This window comes from Homo sapiens, chromosome 4 (genome assembly GCF_000001405.40).
Source record: "Homo sapiens chromosome 4, GRCh38.p14 Primary Assembly".
Taxonomy (NCBI): Eukaryota; Metazoa; Chordata; class Mammalia; order Primates; family Hominidae; genus Homo; species Homo sapiens.
The window spans coordinates 95,291,903-95,311,080 of NC_000004.12; the positions used below are offsets into that span (position 1 = coordinate 95,291,903).

Consider the following 19,178-nt stretch of genomic DNA (forward strand, 5'->3'; position numbering starts at 1 on the left):
CTCAGAAATGTACCTTAGTAAAAATGCCATTTATTCTGGTGTACAGGGGAGCCTGCTGAATCCTGCCAGTACATTTGGTGTTAGGCTACTAGAACTGTTTATAGTATGACCTTCATCTTTCAGGATGCTTGTTTAAAGAAATGCATTATTTTTGTTAAATTGTATAATTAATTTTGTTTTATGCCAAGTAGAGTAGACAGGTAGAAAATAAAAAAGTAACACATAAGGCCACAAATCAGGACTTCTGTACATGTGAACCAATATAATAATTCATGAGATTACATATATATATACACATATATATACATATATATACACACACACACACACACACATATATATATATATATATATATATATATATAAATTTTTTTTGTTTTTTTTTGAGATGGAGTCTTGCTCTGTCACCCAGGCTGGAGTGCAGTAGTGCGATCTCAGCTCACCGCAAGCTCTGCCTCCCAGGTTCACGCCATTCTCCTGCTTCAGCCTCCCGGAGATTACATATATATTTAACTGGAGATACTTAAATACAGAAATGTCAATTCATTCATTCCTTTATGATATTTCTTGAGTCCCTACATTGTGACAGGAATCACCCTAGGCGTTTTGAATTAATCAGTGAAAAAACCAAACCCAAATCTTTGCCTATGTGGACCTTACTTTCTAAGGGGGTGAGGGGGTACAGAATACAAACCATTAACTAATAAATAAGTAAATGTATGATGGTTTAGAAGGTGAGAAGTGCTATGCAGAAACGTAATAAGTACAAGAGTGTAGAGGCAATTACGTCCAGCTACCTGATGTTCTTGAATTCCTTGGGGAAAAAAAGTATTTTTATTAAATGAACAAATGATTCACATTGAATAGTATCTTCACTTTTCCCCATCATGTACTTTCAATTTAATTCAATTTTATTTCATTTTTTTATGTTTTAATTTATTTATCAGCAGCCACAGGCAAGGGACGTCTTCTAGGCACTGGAGACAACAAGGAAGAAAAGAAAGTCTCTGTCCTTGTGAAGCTTACATTCTGGTATGGCAGATGGTTAACTCAAAAGAAAACAAATAATGATGAAGAAAAATGTTATGGAGAACAATAAAGCAGGATTAGGATTAGGCAAGTGACAGGGTTGAGGCCCGGATAGACAGACCCCTCTATAGGAGTGACATCTCAGTATAAATCTGAATGAAAGAAGAAAGTAAGCCAGTTTTAGACTTGGGGTAAGAATGTTTCAAGTGAGAAGAAACAGTTCTTGCAAGCAGCCTATATGTGGAATGAATCTATTGCATTCTGGAAACAAGGAAATGGATGTGGTTAGAGCAGACAAAGCAATAAGAAGAGAGGCAGGAAGCCAAGGTCTGTTTATGTTTCTGTATTATAAATAATAGTGAGCTTTTTTTTTTTTTTTTTTTTTTTTTTTGAGACAGGATCTCACTGTCACCCAGGCTGGAGTACAGTGGTGTGATCATGGCTCACTGCAGCCTTGACCTCCTGAGCTCAAGGGATCCTCCTGCCTCAGCCTTCTGGGCTGACAGTAGTATCCCAGCTGGGATCACAGGTGCACACCACCACACTTGGTTAATTTTTTTTGGCTTTTATTAGAGACAAGGTCTTGCTATGTTGCCCAGGCTGGTCTCAAACCCCTATGTGCAAGTGATCCTCCCACCTTGGCCTCCCAAGGTGCTGGGATTACAACGTAAGACATTGCACCAGTTATAAACATTATGCATGTAGAGAATAAGATGTTTTTGTGAATTGCCAGCTGATCTACAAATCCTTGTCTCCTCCTCCCTTCTTTGTACCCAGTGTACTGGTTAAACACATGGACTTGGATGCTGGCCTGACTCACTGCTCCATATACCACCTGTATAACCTCAGGCGATTTTTAATCTCCCGTTGCTCTCAATTTCCTTGTCTATAAAATGGGAATAATAATAACACTCATCACATAGAGTCCTTGCAAAGACTGAATGATCTAATACATAATACATGATTGAAACAGCACTTCCATTATTATCAGTATTATTATTCTGGAGCCTATCTGTCCAATGCAAACCACATGAGGCTTTCAAGCACTTGACCTGTAGCTGGTCATAACTGAAGCTATTGTAAGGGTACACACACTAGCTCTGAAAAACCAGTATGACAAAAAGAAAGAAAAGTATTTCATAAATACTTGTTGATATTGGTAATACTGTTGAAATGATAGTTTAGACATACTGGACTCAGTGAAATACATGACCGAAATAATTTTATCTGTTTCTTTTTAAATTGTGGCTACTAGAAAAGTGTAAACAGTATTTGTGGCTGGCATATTTCTATTGGACGCTGCTGTTTTAGACAGTGTGCTGGATACTATAGACTCACGAATATGAACAAGACTTGATCCAAATCCACAGGTGGGTCACAAATGTAGTTATTCTCTCAGTGAAAATGATGAGTGAGCTGTGAGAGGAAGCCAGGAGGGGCCACCTTGATCATCCTTAATTCTTTCTAGGAACTACCTTATTCCTCTTTGTGGCCAGCAGGCTTTGTGATGCTGGCTGTGATTTATTGGTTTGCACACACGATCGAGAGGAAATCCGGAGGAGCCATCCTGCTGTTCCCCGGAAGATGAATCTTGGGTGCATGTAAATCCCATTATAGCTCATGACTGTAGGATAAGGGTGACCATATGGCATGTTCTTCCATCCTCAGGCATGGGCAGAAGGGGTTGGAAATTACAGTCAAATTTTATGTGAATCAGCAGAGAATTTCAACCTCTAGGATTGACAGTCTAGCCCTGGGACATGAAATGGTAAAGGAAAGACAGACTTTTCAGTTTTCAAAGTTTGCTCAGTATTGATGTTTCAAAATAAACATATAAAGTTGTTTAAAATGGTTATATCCATTTTTATGAACACCTATTATCATTCGCTGAGCATTTGCACTGTGTCTGGCACTATGTCATATGTTTTACAAGTTTATCTCATTTAATCTTAAAATAACTCTTTTTCATGCTATGGTTGATGAAACTAAGGCTCCCAGAGGTCAAGTAACTTGACTAAGGTCACAGTAGGAAGTCATGGCACTAGGATTCGAACATGAGTCAATCTGTCCCTCAGCTTGTGCTATTAACCAGTCTCCTATGCTGCTTTTTCCATCATATCCTTACCCCCACAACACAATCACAACATTGTCAACAATGGTAACATCAAGAGCGGCACTATTGAAACCCAAATTGTTCCTGAGGAAAGACCTTGTATGTTAATATTTTGCCTGAACCTTAAGCTTTGGGATTCACTCATCAGCCTGTAACAAGAGACACTGGAAGAAACAACCCCATGATGACACTGGGAGCTGTATTACAGTAAGGGTTCTGCACAGGACACCATTGTAGTGGCAACTTGAATTCTCTCAGAATAAACTTTTCTCTGAATGAAAACTACCAGACCCGCCTAGGAAATTTGGCACTGCTGTCTTGTTAATGTGCAGGATTTTAAAGCAGATGTGTTATGTTCTCAGCACAGCCTGGCTGAATCCTAACTTTCATATTTCCATTTTTTCCTCTGCCTTGATTGTCTCACAAACCTATTTTTACATTTTACATGGTTTGAATGTGTGAAATATTGTAAGCAAGCTTAAATACATAAATTAATAGTCAATATTCATTTATGGTTTATAAACTGAAAATAGAGCTTTTTCATGAAAGAACTATGGGCCCCTCCACAGTACATCAAATGAGCATAAATCTAATTAGGTAAGAGGTAATCATACTTATTTAAGTTTAGCATCGTGGTGATCTTCACCTCTGATGAGTTTAAACTTAAGTTGCCATTTATGTGATGGCCCTCGGTCAAGTATTACTGGGCAGAGCACCACAGTTCACTTGATACAGGACAGAGTAGAAAACCCATAAGTGGCTGGGCACAGTGGCTCACGCCTATAATCCCAGCACTTTGGGAGGCTGAGACAGGCAGATTGCTTGAGTTCACCAGTTCGAGACCAGCCTGGGCAACATGGAGGGACCCCTATTTCTACTAAAAATACAAAAATTAGCCAGGGATGGTGGTGCATGCCAGTAATCCCAGCTACATGGGGGGGAGGCTGAGGCAGGAAAATCACCTGAACCCAGGAGACAGGTTGCAATGAGCCGAGATTGTGCTATTGCACTCCCGTCTGGGACAGGGCAAGACTTTCTCTCAAAAAATAACAAAAACCAAAAACTAAAAACCCCACAAACTTCTGCAACATTAGCAAGGGGCTTCTAATGATAAGGATCAGCCTGTACAGAGAGAATTTGAAAATTCAACCTTTTTTGTTCTCATTATGATGCATATCTTTATGAGTCAATCTTTACAAGTTAGGTGGGGTTCCTTCGGTACACACATATGAGTTCAGTTAGCTACAGAATTATAGGTGAACTGCTCTTGAATATTATTACATGAGGGTGAAAAGGTACCTTGGATAAATAATGTTGACCTAGAAGAAGAGTTTGTTTTTTTATTTGAAAATAGATTGAAAAGCCATGAAGTAAATAGCAAAGTTTATAGAACATACTGCAAAGAAAGGGGTCTTATACCTATATGTACTTAATGTTTGTGTGCTGAAAAAGAATATATCTACTCAAACACATATAATTATATATATATATGAAATTGGCACAACAATGGTCTCTGCAAATTACTGAAAATTGAAGGCTTATTAACTAAAAATTCATTATTTGAAACTATGCAGCTCTTAAAGTTCAGCTTTAGCAAGTCAATGTAGTGTGGAATGTAGACTGGCAATTTTAAGTATATATTGTGCTTGCTATTAATGAATACATAGAAATGAAAGATAAAAGAATAGCTTTCTTTCCTTGTGCCTCCTTTGATTACAGTTTGAAACTGATTTTGAATTCAATTAAATCTTTGACTGAAACATTTGCTTTTTGTTCTTTTTAAACATGATTAAAAGTATTTTTCTTTATAATTAATAAAAAATCAATTCTTCAGAATTTGTGGCAGTGGATGTTGTGGTATGCTACCAGGATCCCCTTTCAGGCCTGGTCCCACCTGTTGGAAGTGTTGACGGTGAAAGTCTCAGCTTCTCTCTCCTGGAATCACCCTCAGTGGTGCAGAGCTGACTTGGCCCTGGTTACACATGCTGGTGGGGTAGGGAGTAAAGGAGGGTCTTCATCCACTGACTAGTCTATGTAGGGGAATACAGGTCTGCTCACCCCTTCAGCCTCAGGGTGCTATAACTCTGAAGGGCCATGTGAGCTTCAGATTCCTATGGAGTCATCACGTGTTGTATTTGCTCTGCAGGTCAATTTCTCCCTCTGCCCAACCATTGCCTTTATTCCTCCACCTGATATCCTAGTACCCTTAGCATATTGTTCCTAAGGGCACCCCTCAATACACTGGCTGCATGTATGACTCCATTTCACAGTATTTCATGGAGATTCCACTTAAGACAAAGAGAAAATCTATTTAGACATTCTCAGAGAGGAAAGATTAATGTCGAGCATTTGAACAAACTTCACTGGGAATTCTTTATAACAGTTTTAATTCAAGAAAATTGTTAAACATCTGTGATACTCTAGGTATTGTGCTAAGCAGGAGAGATATAAAATTAAGTACAATAGAATTCTTGATCTCATGGAACTCACTGGCATGAAACACAAATTTTACGAGTGAATATAATTGAAATGAGACAAGCACTATATTAGGAGTATGGACAAACTGCTCTGAAAGTATTGAGAAAGGAATGCCCAGCCTCCTCCCTCTGTGAGGCAGGAATGGCTTCACTAAAGACATTTGAAAGAAATCCTTGATAAGGCTTAGCCCTTTCAAATCATCCTTTCTCTTCTTTCTCTCACATCACACATCCAAGGTCTCAACAAAAGCTGTTATCTCTACTTTTAAATATATCTGAAATCCTGGCCTCACCACCTCCACTGCTTCCAATCTACAGTAGCTTAACATCTCTCATAGCTGCAGTCTCATCACTGGTCTTCCTGCTTCTCCCCTTGCCCAGCATGGTCCATTCTCAACACAGCAGCCAGATGACTCTGATGACTCTGCTAATGGATGTCAGGTCATGAGTTCCTCTGCTGAAAAGATTCCAAAGTGTTCCCAACTTATCCTCAAAACCAAATATGGGCCGAGTGTGGTGGCTAACGCCTGTAATCCCAATATTTTGGGAGGCTGAAGTGGGCGAAATCGCTTGTGCCCAGGAGTTTGAGACCAGCCTCGGTGACATGGTGAAACTACATCCCTACAAAAAAATGCAAAAAAGTAGCTGGTCATGGCGGCACATGCCTGTAGTCCCAGCTACCTGGGAGGCTGGGGTGGTAGAATCACCTGAGCCTGCGAGACTGAGGCTGCAATGAGCTGTGTTTGCGCCACTGCACTCCAGCCTGGTGACAGAATGAGACCCCCATCTCAAAAATCAAACAAACAAACAAACAAAACCAAAGATAATTTCAACACCTACAGAACCCTATGCCAACTGCACACACTGCTCCCATCTTTAGCCCAGGCCTTACCTTTCTGGCTGCATCTGTGGATGTCCTCTCACTCACTATTCTAGCCACTCTGGCCTCACTGCTGTCTTTGGGACCCACCAGCACACTCCTGCCTCAGGGTTTTTGTGCCAGCCGCTGTCCCCTCTGCCTGATTCCCTCTTGCCCCTCCTTCAGGTCTTCGCAACTGTCAACTTCCTCAGCAAAGCTTCCTGACCACTCCCTCCCAGCCCTACAAATTCCCTTTTCCTGCTGTATTTTTTCTTCGTGGCACTTACCATCTGCTCTAGACCTGATGATCATTCATTTTATTTAGAGTTTGCCTTTCCTCACCACAACATGAGCTCCATGAGGGCAAGGATGGTTGCATGTTTTGTTTCTAGTACCAACCCCAATACCCACAATTGTCCCAAGAACAGAGTGAATCTTCACTTAGTATTTGTCTAAGTGAACAAATACATACAAACATATACATATATATGTTGTGAAAGGTAGTAAGATAAGGGTGCAATGCTTCAGCATGAAGAATAGCTGAAAGGCATGGAAATCAAAGTAGTTTTAATCTAGTGTGATTACAATGTAGAAATCCTTACCCTTCCGAGCTAGAAACATAGGTTGGATATGTAAACCACAAAATGTAGTTGTTATTGGCTGAACTACATCCCATTCCCCCAAATTCTGATGGGGAAGCCCTAACCCTCAGTTCCTCAGGATGTGACTATATTGGGATATAAGACTTTTAAAGAGGTGATCAAGTTAAAATGAAGCTGTTAGGGTGGGCCCCAACCCAATCTGACTGGTGTCCTTATAAGAAGAAGAAATTTGGACACACAGAGACACCAGGGATGTGCACACACACAGAGTAAAGACTATGTGAAGACACAGTGAGAAAGAGGCCACCAGCAAGCCAAGAAGAGCGGCCTCAGGAGAAACCAAACCTGCTGACACCTTGAGATTGCACTTCCAGCCTTCAGAACTGTGAGAAAATAAATTTCTATTGTTTAAGCCATCCAATCCGTGGTGTTTTATTATGGGAGCCCTAGAAAACTAATTCAATGATATATGCCATTATAAGGAATTTTGCCTATCTCACATGTCACTATAAAATGTGAAGCAGGAATGGAGGCAAGATGAGAGGTGTATTCATCTGTTCTCATGCTGCTAATAAAGACATGCCCCAGATTGGGTAATTTATAAAGGAAAGAGGCTTAATGGACTCACAGTTCCACAGGGCTGCGGAGGCCTCATAATCATGGTGGAAGATGAAGGAAGAGCAAGGAACATCTTACATGGTGGCAGGCAAGAGGGCATGTACAAGGGAACTCCCCTTTATAAAAGCATCAGATCTCATGAGACTTATTCACCATCATAGAACAGCATAGGGAAAATCCACCCCCATGATTCAGTTAACTCCCACAACACATGGGGATGATTACAATTCAAGGTGAGATTTGGGTGGGACACAGAACCAAACCTTATCAAGAGGAGACCTAAGTTTTAGAAAGACTGTGTTTGTGGTAACAGGGAGGAAGGGCTGGAATAGAGAACAGACTTGAGCCATGGAGACTAACTGGAAGATCTGCAATGGTCCACATCTAAATGAAGAAGCAAGGGAGTCAGAGACAAGTATAGAACTGGGGAATGCTTTAGAAGCAGGATTGATGGGACTTAGAGCTAAGTGATATTGGCATCCAACACAAAATAGAATTAGTAAAATGCAAAGATGTAAAGGGTTCAGAAAAGAAAATATATGGATTTCAGCGCTTTCTCATGTATGAGAACATTTCTCAATATGAAACCTTGAGACAGGTTACGTGGCATCCATGTTGCTTAAGACAGACAGAATATTTACTGAGGAAAGGGCTCTGCAAGCTGCAGCCTCCTTCTCCCTCGTGGTGATAACATGCATATTAGTGTATTAAATCATCTGAGAAGTTTTGCAATGAAGCTTCTATAACTTTGTCAAAAAATATATTTCTTACATTTATTTGATTATGGAAGCCTTTTTTGCAAGGTACCTTTTAACCTCTTCCTGAACATGTATGCTCTAGAAATTAACACAATTTGGAAAACAGTGCTGTGTGTGGTCCAATGTACTAGAATGGTTCCAAAATAAATAGAGAAGCTTTATCTTGGTAATCTCTATTTTGAACAGGAAAACGACTCAACTTTGTCTTAAAGTGGTAGAATGAACTCATTCAAGGAATGATATATGCCATTGTAAGGATTGATTTTCCTACAGTCTAATTCCTACTAGATTTTTTACAAAATCAAAATCTTTGGAAAGTAACACAGTTCTTTCACATCCCTAAAGAAAAATTACTCAGTGCCTTAAAACAAAAAATAAAAGGAAAAAAATTGAACTCACAGACATAGAGAATAAAAGATAGTTACTAGAGGCTGGGAAGGGTAGTGGCAGGGTTTTGCGGGGAGGTGGGGATGATTAATGAGTACAGAAAAATAGAAGGAATGAATAAGACCTACTATTTGATAGTACAACAGGGTGACTATGGTCAATAATAACTTAATTGTTCATTTTAAAATAACTAAAAGAGTATAACTGAATTGTTTGTAACACAAAAGGATAAATGCCAGAGGGGTGGATACCTCATTCCCCATGATGTGATTATTAGGCATTGCATGCCTATATCAAAACATCTCACATACCATGTAAATATATACACCTACTATGTACCCACAAAAATTAAAAAATAAAAAAGAAAATTAAAAATAAAATGAAATCTTGGCGACCTAAGAGGAATATGTGGCTCAAATGCAGAAATCTGGGAGCAGTTTTTTTCCAGGATTTTTTTTTTTTTTTTTTTTGAGACAGTCTTGCTCTGTAGCCCAGGCTGGAGTGCAGTGGCATAATCTCGGCTCACTGCAAGCTCTGCCTCCTGGGTTCAGGCCATTCTCCTGCCTCAGCCTCCCGAGTAACTGGGACTACAGGCGCCTGCCACCATGCCCGGCTAATTTTTTGTATTTTTAGTAGAAACGGGGTTTCACCGTGTTAGCCAGGATGGTCTCGATCTCCTGACCTTGTGATCCGCCCACCTCGGCCTCCCAAAGTGCTGGGATTACAGGCGTGAGTCACCGCGCCTGGCCTTTCCAGGATTTTTGACCAGTTTTCTTTGGTGCTGGAGTAGTCACAGTGTAAACTTTCCCTTATGTGTATCAACTTCTGAGACCCAAGGTGCTTATTGTACAATGACTCACATGCAATGCGCACATACGCCTTCCGGCTCTTTGTGGTACCCGCGGAGCTCCAGGCCACACACTGGCACCAGTAATCTTCAGGTCCAAAGAGTTCTTCCACTTGCTGGCGCGAAATCTCAATGCTCACTTCCCGGACAATGAGACCTGACAAGAGAAAAAGAAAGATTTAAGTCAACACAAGATTCATACTAAAGAAATATAAACCATCACATCATATTTTTCCCCCAGTCATCCCTTTTGATGCCATAGATCAACAACCCAGATATTGTCTCTCATCTCTTTTGACTTTCTTCTCGTTCCAGTTATTTTACTCAACAACTTTTTCATTCTCTTATTTGCTATTTCACATCTTCTGGATTATTCTGAGGATGAAAGTAGAAGGGCTCTATCACTCCACAAAGTAATTCCTTTCCCAATACAGCTTGCTATTTTTTAACCTTCCTCTCTATATTGAAATATAAACTTGAGTTTCACATCTTCTAGGGTTTTTACCTCAATTATATAGTTGTGGGTAAAATAAACGTATGTACACAGATTTACAAAGCTAAAACCAACAGTCATTGTGATTATTTAATAACTAAATTACTTTAGCAGTTGTGTTTCAATTAAATGGCACATCGTTTTTCTTGAAACAGATACTAACCTTTGTTAACAAGCTTCTGGTATCGTATCCGAAGAATATATAACTTTAAAGTTTTCATGCATAATAGTTTGAAAGCCCAAAATGTTTCTCTGTAATTGTAATATACTAAAACCCTGTTAAAGGTAAAGTAGCCTCCTGCTAAAATGCTCAAATAATTGGAATTTATTTCACAGCATTATGTAATCTTGAATAACAAAAAATTGAACTAAGCATCTGGGATTATCATTTTAGAGGTATTTATCTTGAATTATCAAGGCTGTTTCAGACATTCATTCTTCAATGTGCCTCTTTGCCCTGAGCAAGAGGGGTTATCTGAACAACATATGTGGGCAACTGCCAGTTCTCCCAGAGCTTGAACTCACACACTTCCAGCATGGAGTGTCCATTGAGGGAACCAGCAGAACACCCCTAGGGAGGAGGAGAATTTGCTTTGGGTCAAGTATAGGTATAGTAAGAATGATTAAATATATTGTTTTGCACTATTCATATGTCCATCTATTCATTTATTCTTTGAATAAATATTTATTTAGTATCAATTATGTAAAAGATAATGTATCAGCACTTGTGAAAGTAATCAGTAAGATAGTCCTTCCCCTCAATGAACTTATGTTATTGTGAAGAGGTATCATGTTAACAATGCATTATACAACTTATTATTTAGGTTCAATTGCATTCAATGCTGCAAAGGTGGGCATAGGAATGAGTGTGAGTAATCAGGGAACCCAATCTAGTGTGAAGGATCCAGTATGAGTTAGCTTGGTTCAATCATATGGTGAGCAGGAGGGACAGGACATATGGGAAAGAGCAGGAAAGGGAATTAGGAGTTTGAGAATTTAGGAGAAGACAACTGAGCACCAACCACAGAGAATAGTGGCATGAGATGAAGCTAGAGACAAGAAAGGGTCTAGTTTACATAGTTGTGCACACCAGTGTTTCTGAAAGTGTGGCCCCCAGAGCAGCTTCATCAGTATCACCTGGGAACCTGCTGCAAATGCACATTCTCAGGCTCCATGCCAAACTCACTGAATAGGAATCTCTGGAGGTGGGGTCCAGCAATCTGTGTTTTGACCAGCCTGCCAAGTAATCCCAATGCATGCTGAGTTTCAGAACTACTCACATCTACAATGTTTATAATTCTCAGTTTCCCCCAGGCACTGTGGCTCACGCCTGTAATCCCAGCACTTTGGGAGGCCAAGGCAGGCGGATCACTTGAGGTAAGGAGTTTGAGACTAGTCTTGCCAACATGGTGAAACCCTATCTCTACTAAAAATACAAAAATTAGCTGGGCATGGTGGCGCACGCCTGTAATCCCAGCTACTCGGGAGTCTGAGGCAGGAGAATTGCTTGAACCTTGGAGATGGAGTCTGCAGTGAGCCGAGATCGCACCACTGCACTTCAGCCTGGGCAATGAGCGAGACTTTGTCTCAAAGATTTTCAGTTTCTTCCTAAAAGCCATGGATATTACTAAAGTGTTTTAAGCAAGTAGATGACATGATCAGATGAGAATTAAATATATACATATATGATATATAAAATAGATATGTGTGTATGTGTATGTGTACATGTGTATATCTGTGTGTATGTGTATGTGTATTCAATTCTTTATAGTTTAATAAGTTCATAAAAGTTATAATTTCTCAAAATGTTTGATTATAGGTGACAGGAGAGGGTATATTTTCTGGAACTCCTTAAAAACTGTATTTTAGAACTTTCCTTAACACCTAGAAAATATTCAAATGACTAAACACACTCAGGGAAATGAACAACTACCCAATGGGAGTAGGAGCTGTCCCACTGGGGGAACAAACAATATTTCCTATCAAGAGCTGATGAGGCTTGTGTCATAGAAACTACTAAGCTCATAGGCCCATTAATGACTAGCTAAATGGTAATGAAGCCCAAGACGGTGGGTTTTATAATCCCAAGGCGTGACAGGATCCTAAGGGGCAACTCTATTGTGAAAAGCTTATGAAGTACATTCAAAATTATTTCAATGTTTTGAAAATTAGCAATCCTTGTATGTTTATATATTAACCAGTTTAAAAAGAATTTCCAAGTAAGTGGCATATTCCAATCCATCACCCTTCTATGGAAAGAAGATTAGTAGATTATGTTAGCCAATGTCTAACTAATGTAACAATCCTCTCAGCAACAATCCTAGGCCATTAACAAATAACACCACTTTGCCTCCTCTTTCCTGGTCCCTACTCAGGCCTCTCATTTTCTTATCTTATTGTATTTTTTCACATTATTCCAATTCTGGAAATCTATGGGAAGATGGAATCACAACCTCTTTCCCCAGTCCCCATATCTTTCTCTCTCTCTCTTTTTTTCCCCCTACTCTCTGATGTTTGATGGTTTTTCCCTGCTTTACTTATTTATACATTCCCTCTTCATGGGGAAATTCAGTTACTGGAAACAAACCTCTTCCTTTAAGATTACTGTAGTAACTTACAGTCACCAAAGGGCTGATAAATTTGCAATATGTGTTTCCTTAGAACTATAATGGTTCTTTATACGATGCAGAGCAGCAACTAATATGCTCAGGATATTACAACCACATCCAAATATTTGGTGTCCCAAGATGATAACTTCAGGTCTCATTCTCCCCCACTTTTACTTAAAGCAATTACAGGAAGCCTAATTAAATGCTTGAGGAATTCAGTAGGTCCACTGTATCCTTTAGCTCAAATAGGCTCATGGATGGTTCTACTGACCACAAATCTGAAGCCTTTTTAAAAGCCACAGACCAACCCTCCTGCTACAGGAGTTATTCATAGTCTGAATGCTCTGAATTGTTTGGCTCAGGCTCCCTGTGGGCACTGGAGTCAAGCACACACTGATTTTTGTATTCAGCTTCACAGATGTCCCATTCAGGAGGAGCTGAGTTGTGTACAGTTGTCCTATTACATAGCCCAAAGTTTACATTCCAACTTTTGGTCAACAACACAAGAATAAGAAAGAACTGAAGCATGAAGTATCTAAATACTTATGACTCAGAAGAATTCCGTAGAATTGACTGCATTATTCAGACTCTGAGCTACTTGGTTACATGCCATATTTTCATAACCATAGGTAAGTTTATTACCTATGAGAGTTTGTTCATCAGACCAGAGCCTAGTGGTTTGGGTAAAAGTAGATAATATTTTTTCTCTTTGAACCTATAATTTCAAATCTGCTTGAAGTCTGGAGATGGAAAAAGCAAACTACCTTGAATTTGAAATGCCATCAGCATTACTTCTAAGGTGGGTTGCTTTGAAGAGCATTTGGGAACCTGAAATTGGTTTCAGGTTATTTAAGGGTGGGGGAAATGCTTTGGTCTACAGGACTTACTCAAATACAAATGTGTAGTTTCCATCACATCTGATAACATCAAAGATTTCCCATCATGCTGCTTCCTTTAATAGTGGCATCTCAAGGATGCATGCTGTTTGAAGTTTGCAGTGATTTGTTTTTATAATAGGATTTGTTGTAGTTTGGGAGCCAGAGTGCAGGAAAGTAATTAGCATGTTATTCCAAGAAGTCTTATGATGAGTATGAGTGTGCACTTGTTAATAATACATTTCAAATGAATATAGAAATTCAGATTCAAATGCAACCCTCTGATTGGATCTTTGTGAGGTCATACATGAATATGGCAATAAGACCTGATAATGACATGACATTTATTTCTTATTTTTAGCATATGCTTAATTTCATAATAGTGGTAAGGCACCACAAATACTGTTTTTCTAGGATACTACCATAAAGTGAGCACAAATACATGCTTAATCCAATTAAATGATTACTTAAAATAATATCTGTATTTCCCCAAAATGTAATCTACAGTGCTATCAAATAAAGTAAGTATTAAAGTCCATTAATAACAGATATTATGCTAAGTTGCAGAAATGTAAGGATGAATCAAACATTACTTAGCCTTAAGCTCTCCATATATTTTATTTATTTTTATTTTTATTTATTTATTTTTTTGAGACGGAGTCTTGCTCTGTCACCCAGGCTGGAATGCAGTGGCGCGATCTTGGCTCACTGCAAGCTCTGCCTCCCGGGTTCACACCATTCTCCTGCCTCAGCCTCCGGAGTAGCTGGGACTACAGGTGCCTGCCACCATGCCTGGCTAATTTTTTGTATTTTTAGTAGAGATGGGGTTTCACCATGTTAGCCAGGATGGTCTTGATCTAGTGACCTCGTGATCCACCCGCCTCGGCCTCGCAAAGTGATGGGATTACAGGCATGAGCCACCACGCCTGCCTCTTCATGTATTTTATAAACATATCTTGTTTATTAGGTGACACTGAAAAAAATCACACATCATCTTAAAACACATTTTCATGATAGTGAATTTGCGCCTTCTGATACTCCATGTATATTTCTTTCAAAAGTATCCTAACTCAACTTTAGACTTAGGTATTATGTATGCCTGAGTTGATTCCTCTCCATGGCTTTATCTTTCTTATGGCAAAAGGAAGTTTTAAGATATCATGTTGTGCAGGCCTGGCAATTTGGCTTTCTCCAGCAATCTCTCTAATTGGAGAAGAACTGCAGAGCTCCCTCCACCAAATTTCATTATAGTACATTCACAGTTAGGACACAGGTTGGTAAGAAATATACAAAGCTGCAGGTTGGGATGTTCTGGAATATATTACAAAGTTTTATTGAATTAGTGTGATCTTTTGGTTCTTTCTTCCAGTGCTTCATTCTATTATAAGCTTTTACTAGTATTATTTAAAATATGAAACATATCAGTTCTAGATGTCTTAATATTAATTAAATCACAAAACACCCTGTCATTATTTAGAAGGATGTCATACTATAAAAACTGATTATTATTTCAGCATCTTATAACTCTCGTTAAAGTAATTAAAGTGTGATAACTTAAAAGGCAGAATTTCAGAATCAAGACTTCATGTGTTACATGAAGTCACTTAACAATCTTTAACTACTATAGCAGGAAGACATTGTATACACAAAATTTACCTACTCTTTGAAATGTTTTAATTAAATTTTTAATATAATGTTTAATATATAAGCAAACTATATAATTTAACTAAAATTATTCTATGCAAGTGGGAATTGCAACTTGCTGGTGTATTAGCTTTATTATGAGTATAATTTTGTTAAAGTTACAGCTACTATCTTTGTGATTAAGATGAATGTAAGAAACGCAACACTTACAGAGACTGAATCATGAAGGAATAGAAAACCTGAACAGACCAATCAATGATCAGTAAGATGATTAAATCAGAAATAAAAAGTTTCCCATCAAATAAAGGCCCAGGACCTGCACTTTTATTTAAGAAGAACTAAACTTAACCTTTCTCAAACTCTTCCAAAAAATTAAAGAAAAGAGACTACTTCCAAATTCATGTTACAAAGCCAGCATTATCCTCTTACCAAAACCTGCTGAGGACACTACAAGAAAAGAAAAGTACAGGCCAATAACCCTGATAAACAAAGATGCAAAAATCATCAACAAAATACTAACAAACCAAATGCAACAGCACATTAAAAGGATCATGCACCCTTATCAAGTGGGATATATCCCTGGGATGCAAGGATGTTTCAACATTTACAAATCGATCAATGTAATACATCACATCAACAAAATGAAGGATAAAAATCATACGATCATCTTAATAGCTGTAGAAAGAACATTTGACAAAATTCAACATCCTTTAATGAGAAAAACTCTCAACAAATTGGATAGAAAATGAATGCTCAACACAATAAAGCTATATATGACAAGCCCAGACCTGGCATTACGTTCAACAGTGAAAAGTTGAAAGTTTTTCCTCTAAGATCAGGAACAAGACAAGGATGCCCACTCTTGCCATTTCTATTCAACATAGTACTGTCTTAGATGGATCAATTATGCAAGAGGAAAAAAATTCTAAATCACAAAGGAAGAAGGAAATTGTCTCTGCTTGCAGATGATGTGCTGTTACATTTGGAGAATCCTATAAATTAAACAAAACGGTTAAAATTAATAAATGAATTCAGTACAGTTGCAGGACACAAAATCAACATATAAATATCAGTAATGATTCTATACATGAATAATAAACTTTCCCAAAAAGAAACAAAGAAAATAATCCCATGTATAATAGCTATAAAAATAATAAAATACATAGAAATAAATTTAACCAAAGAGATGAAAGAGCTGTACACTGCAAACAATAAAACATGAAAGAAATAAATTGAAGAAGAAAAACATTAATGGAAGGCCAGGTGCGGTGGCTCACGCCTGTAATCCCAGCACTTTGGGAGGCTGAGGCGGGCAGATCACCTGAGGTCAGGAGTTTGAAACCAGCCTGGCCAAGATGGTGAAACTCTGTCTCTACTAAAAACACAAAAATAAGTTGGGCATGGTGGCAGGCCCCTGTAATCCCAGCTGCTTGGGAGGCTGAGGCAGAGAATTGCTTGAACCTGAGAGGTGGAGGTTTCAGTGATTCGAGATTGTGCCACTGCACTCCAGCCTGGCTGACAGAGTGAGACTCTGTCTCAAAAAAAAAAAAAAAAAAAAAAAAAAAAAAAAGAACAAGAAAAACATGAATGGAAAGATATGTTCATGGATTAGAAAAACTAATATTGTTAAAATGTTCATATTACCCAAAGTGGTCTACAAATTTAATGAAATCCATATCAAAACTCCAATGACAATTTTCACAGGATTAGAAAAACAATCTTAAAATTCATATAGAATCACAAAAGACCCTGAATAGCTAATGCAATCTTGAGCAAAAAGAACAAAGCTGGAGGCATCACACTACTTGATCTCCACATCTACTATAAAGTTACAGTATCAAAATAGCATAATGCTAGCATGAAAACAGACACACAGACCAATGGAACAAAATAGCTCGCCCAGAAATAAATCCATATGTTTATGGTCAATTGATTTTTGACAGAGATGCCAAGAATACACAATGGGGAAAGGACGGTCTCTTCAATAAATAGTGTTGGGACAACTGGATATCCCTAGGCAGAAGAATGAAATTAGACCCTTAACTCATACCATATACAAAAACCAACTCAAAATAGATTAAAAATTTAAATATAAACCCTGAAACTGTAAAACCGCTAGAAAAAAACATAGAGGAAAAGCTCCTTGACATTAGTTTGGGCAATGATTTTTTTAATATGACCCCAAAAACACAGGCAGCAAAAGCAAAAATAGACAAATAGGAATACATCAAACTAAAAAGCTTCTGCACAGCAAGGAAATAATCAACAAAGTGAAGAGACAACTTATGGAATGAGAGAAAACATTTGTAAACCATACATCTGATAAAGGGTCAATAGATAAAATATATAAGGAACTCAGTCAACTCAAGAGCAAGAAAAAGAACCCAATTAAAAAACTGGGCAGAGGATCCCAAAAGACACGTTTCAAAAGAAGACATACAAATGGCCAAGGGTATATTAAAATATGTCCAACATCACTAATCCTCAGGGAAATACAAGTTAAAACAATGAGATATCACCTCACACCTGGAAGAATGGCTACTATCAAAAAGACAAAAGATAACAAGTGTTGGCAAAGGATATGGGGCAAAGGGAACCCTTGCACTCTGTTGGTGGGAATGTAAATTAATACAGCCATATGAAAAACTGTATGAAGTTTCCTTAAAACAAAACAAAACAGAAATAAAACTACCATATGATCCAGCAGTTCCACTAATAGGTGTATACCCAAAGTAAATGAATCAGTATTTGAAAGGGATATCTGCTCCCCTACATTCGCTGCAGCACTTGGCTATTCACAATAGCCAAGACATGGGATTAACCTAAGTGTCCATCAATAGATGAGTGGTGGTAGAAAATGTGGTACATATACACAGGGGAAAACGTTCAACCTTAAAAACAAAGGAAATATTTTGATTTGCCACAACTTGGATGAGCCTGGAGAACATTATGTTAAATGAAATGAGCCAGGCACAGGAAGACAAATACTGCATGATCACACTTATATGTGGATTCTAAAAAAGGTGAAACCATAGAAGCAGAGCAAAAATGGTGGTTCACAGAGGGTAGGGGGTCCCAAGATGGGTGACTGGGAAAATGTTGGTCAAAGGATATTAAATTTCAGTTAGACAGGGAGAGTAAGTTCAAGAGATGTGCAACATGATGAACACAGTTGATGGTAATGTGTTGTGTACTTGAAATTTGCCAAGACAGTAGATTTTTAAGTGTTCTCATTACAAAAAAAATGAGAAATATATGAGGTGATGTATATGTTAATTAGCTTGATTTAGCCATTCCATGATATATATTTCAAAACATCATGTTATTCACCATAAATATACACAATTCTGTTAATAAATGTAGAAGGCTAAATTTATTCAAAAGTTAAATAATTTATATGACTGAAACTGAGTGGTTCAAGGGATTTGCTTGGAAGCATTTCTAGGTCATTGACTCAATTCCTTTTTATGGCCATAGTTTTTAGGAACTTGGCTCTGTGTGGCAGCCTGTGTCAAATGAGGATCTGTGCTTTGTTATATTTTTGTTTTGTCTAGAACTGAGAAGAATATTCACTGGATTGTGTAACTGGGTTGGGGGGGGATTTCTAGTGCTTCTAGAAAGCTCTATGACAACTATAGATCAACGCACGGTTTTCTGCCTTAAAACTTGAAATTTTAATTATAAGACAATATTACATAGAATGAAAAATAAAACTTACTCTGGCAATCATAACACAGTTTTCCTCTTTCCTTTGTGCGAGCATCAGGTTTTGAGTTTTACAGGAGAACTAGGCCTTCTATTTTTGATTTGACTTTCCAACTAACATCAAACTTAGAGTCCATATCTGAGGGATAACTTGAATGGTGG

General features: G+C 38.2%; 1 protein-coding gene across 4 annotated transcripts in view; it reads right to left on the reverse strand.

The window, feature by feature from the left end:
- The window catches only part of UNC5C (unc-5 netrin receptor C), a 386,470-nt gene that overhangs the window by 129,399 nt on the left and 237,893 nt on the right, over window positions 1-19,178 (reverse strand). For all 4 annotated transcript variants that reach the window (NM_003728.4, XM_005263321.4, XM_047416346.1 and 1 more), the window contains one exon: window positions 9,704-9,847. In NM_003728.4, coding sequence (NP_003719.3) covers window positions 9,704-9,847 — 144 coding nt within the window. The remainder of the gene's footprint in view (window positions 1-9,703; window positions 9,848-19,178) is intronic.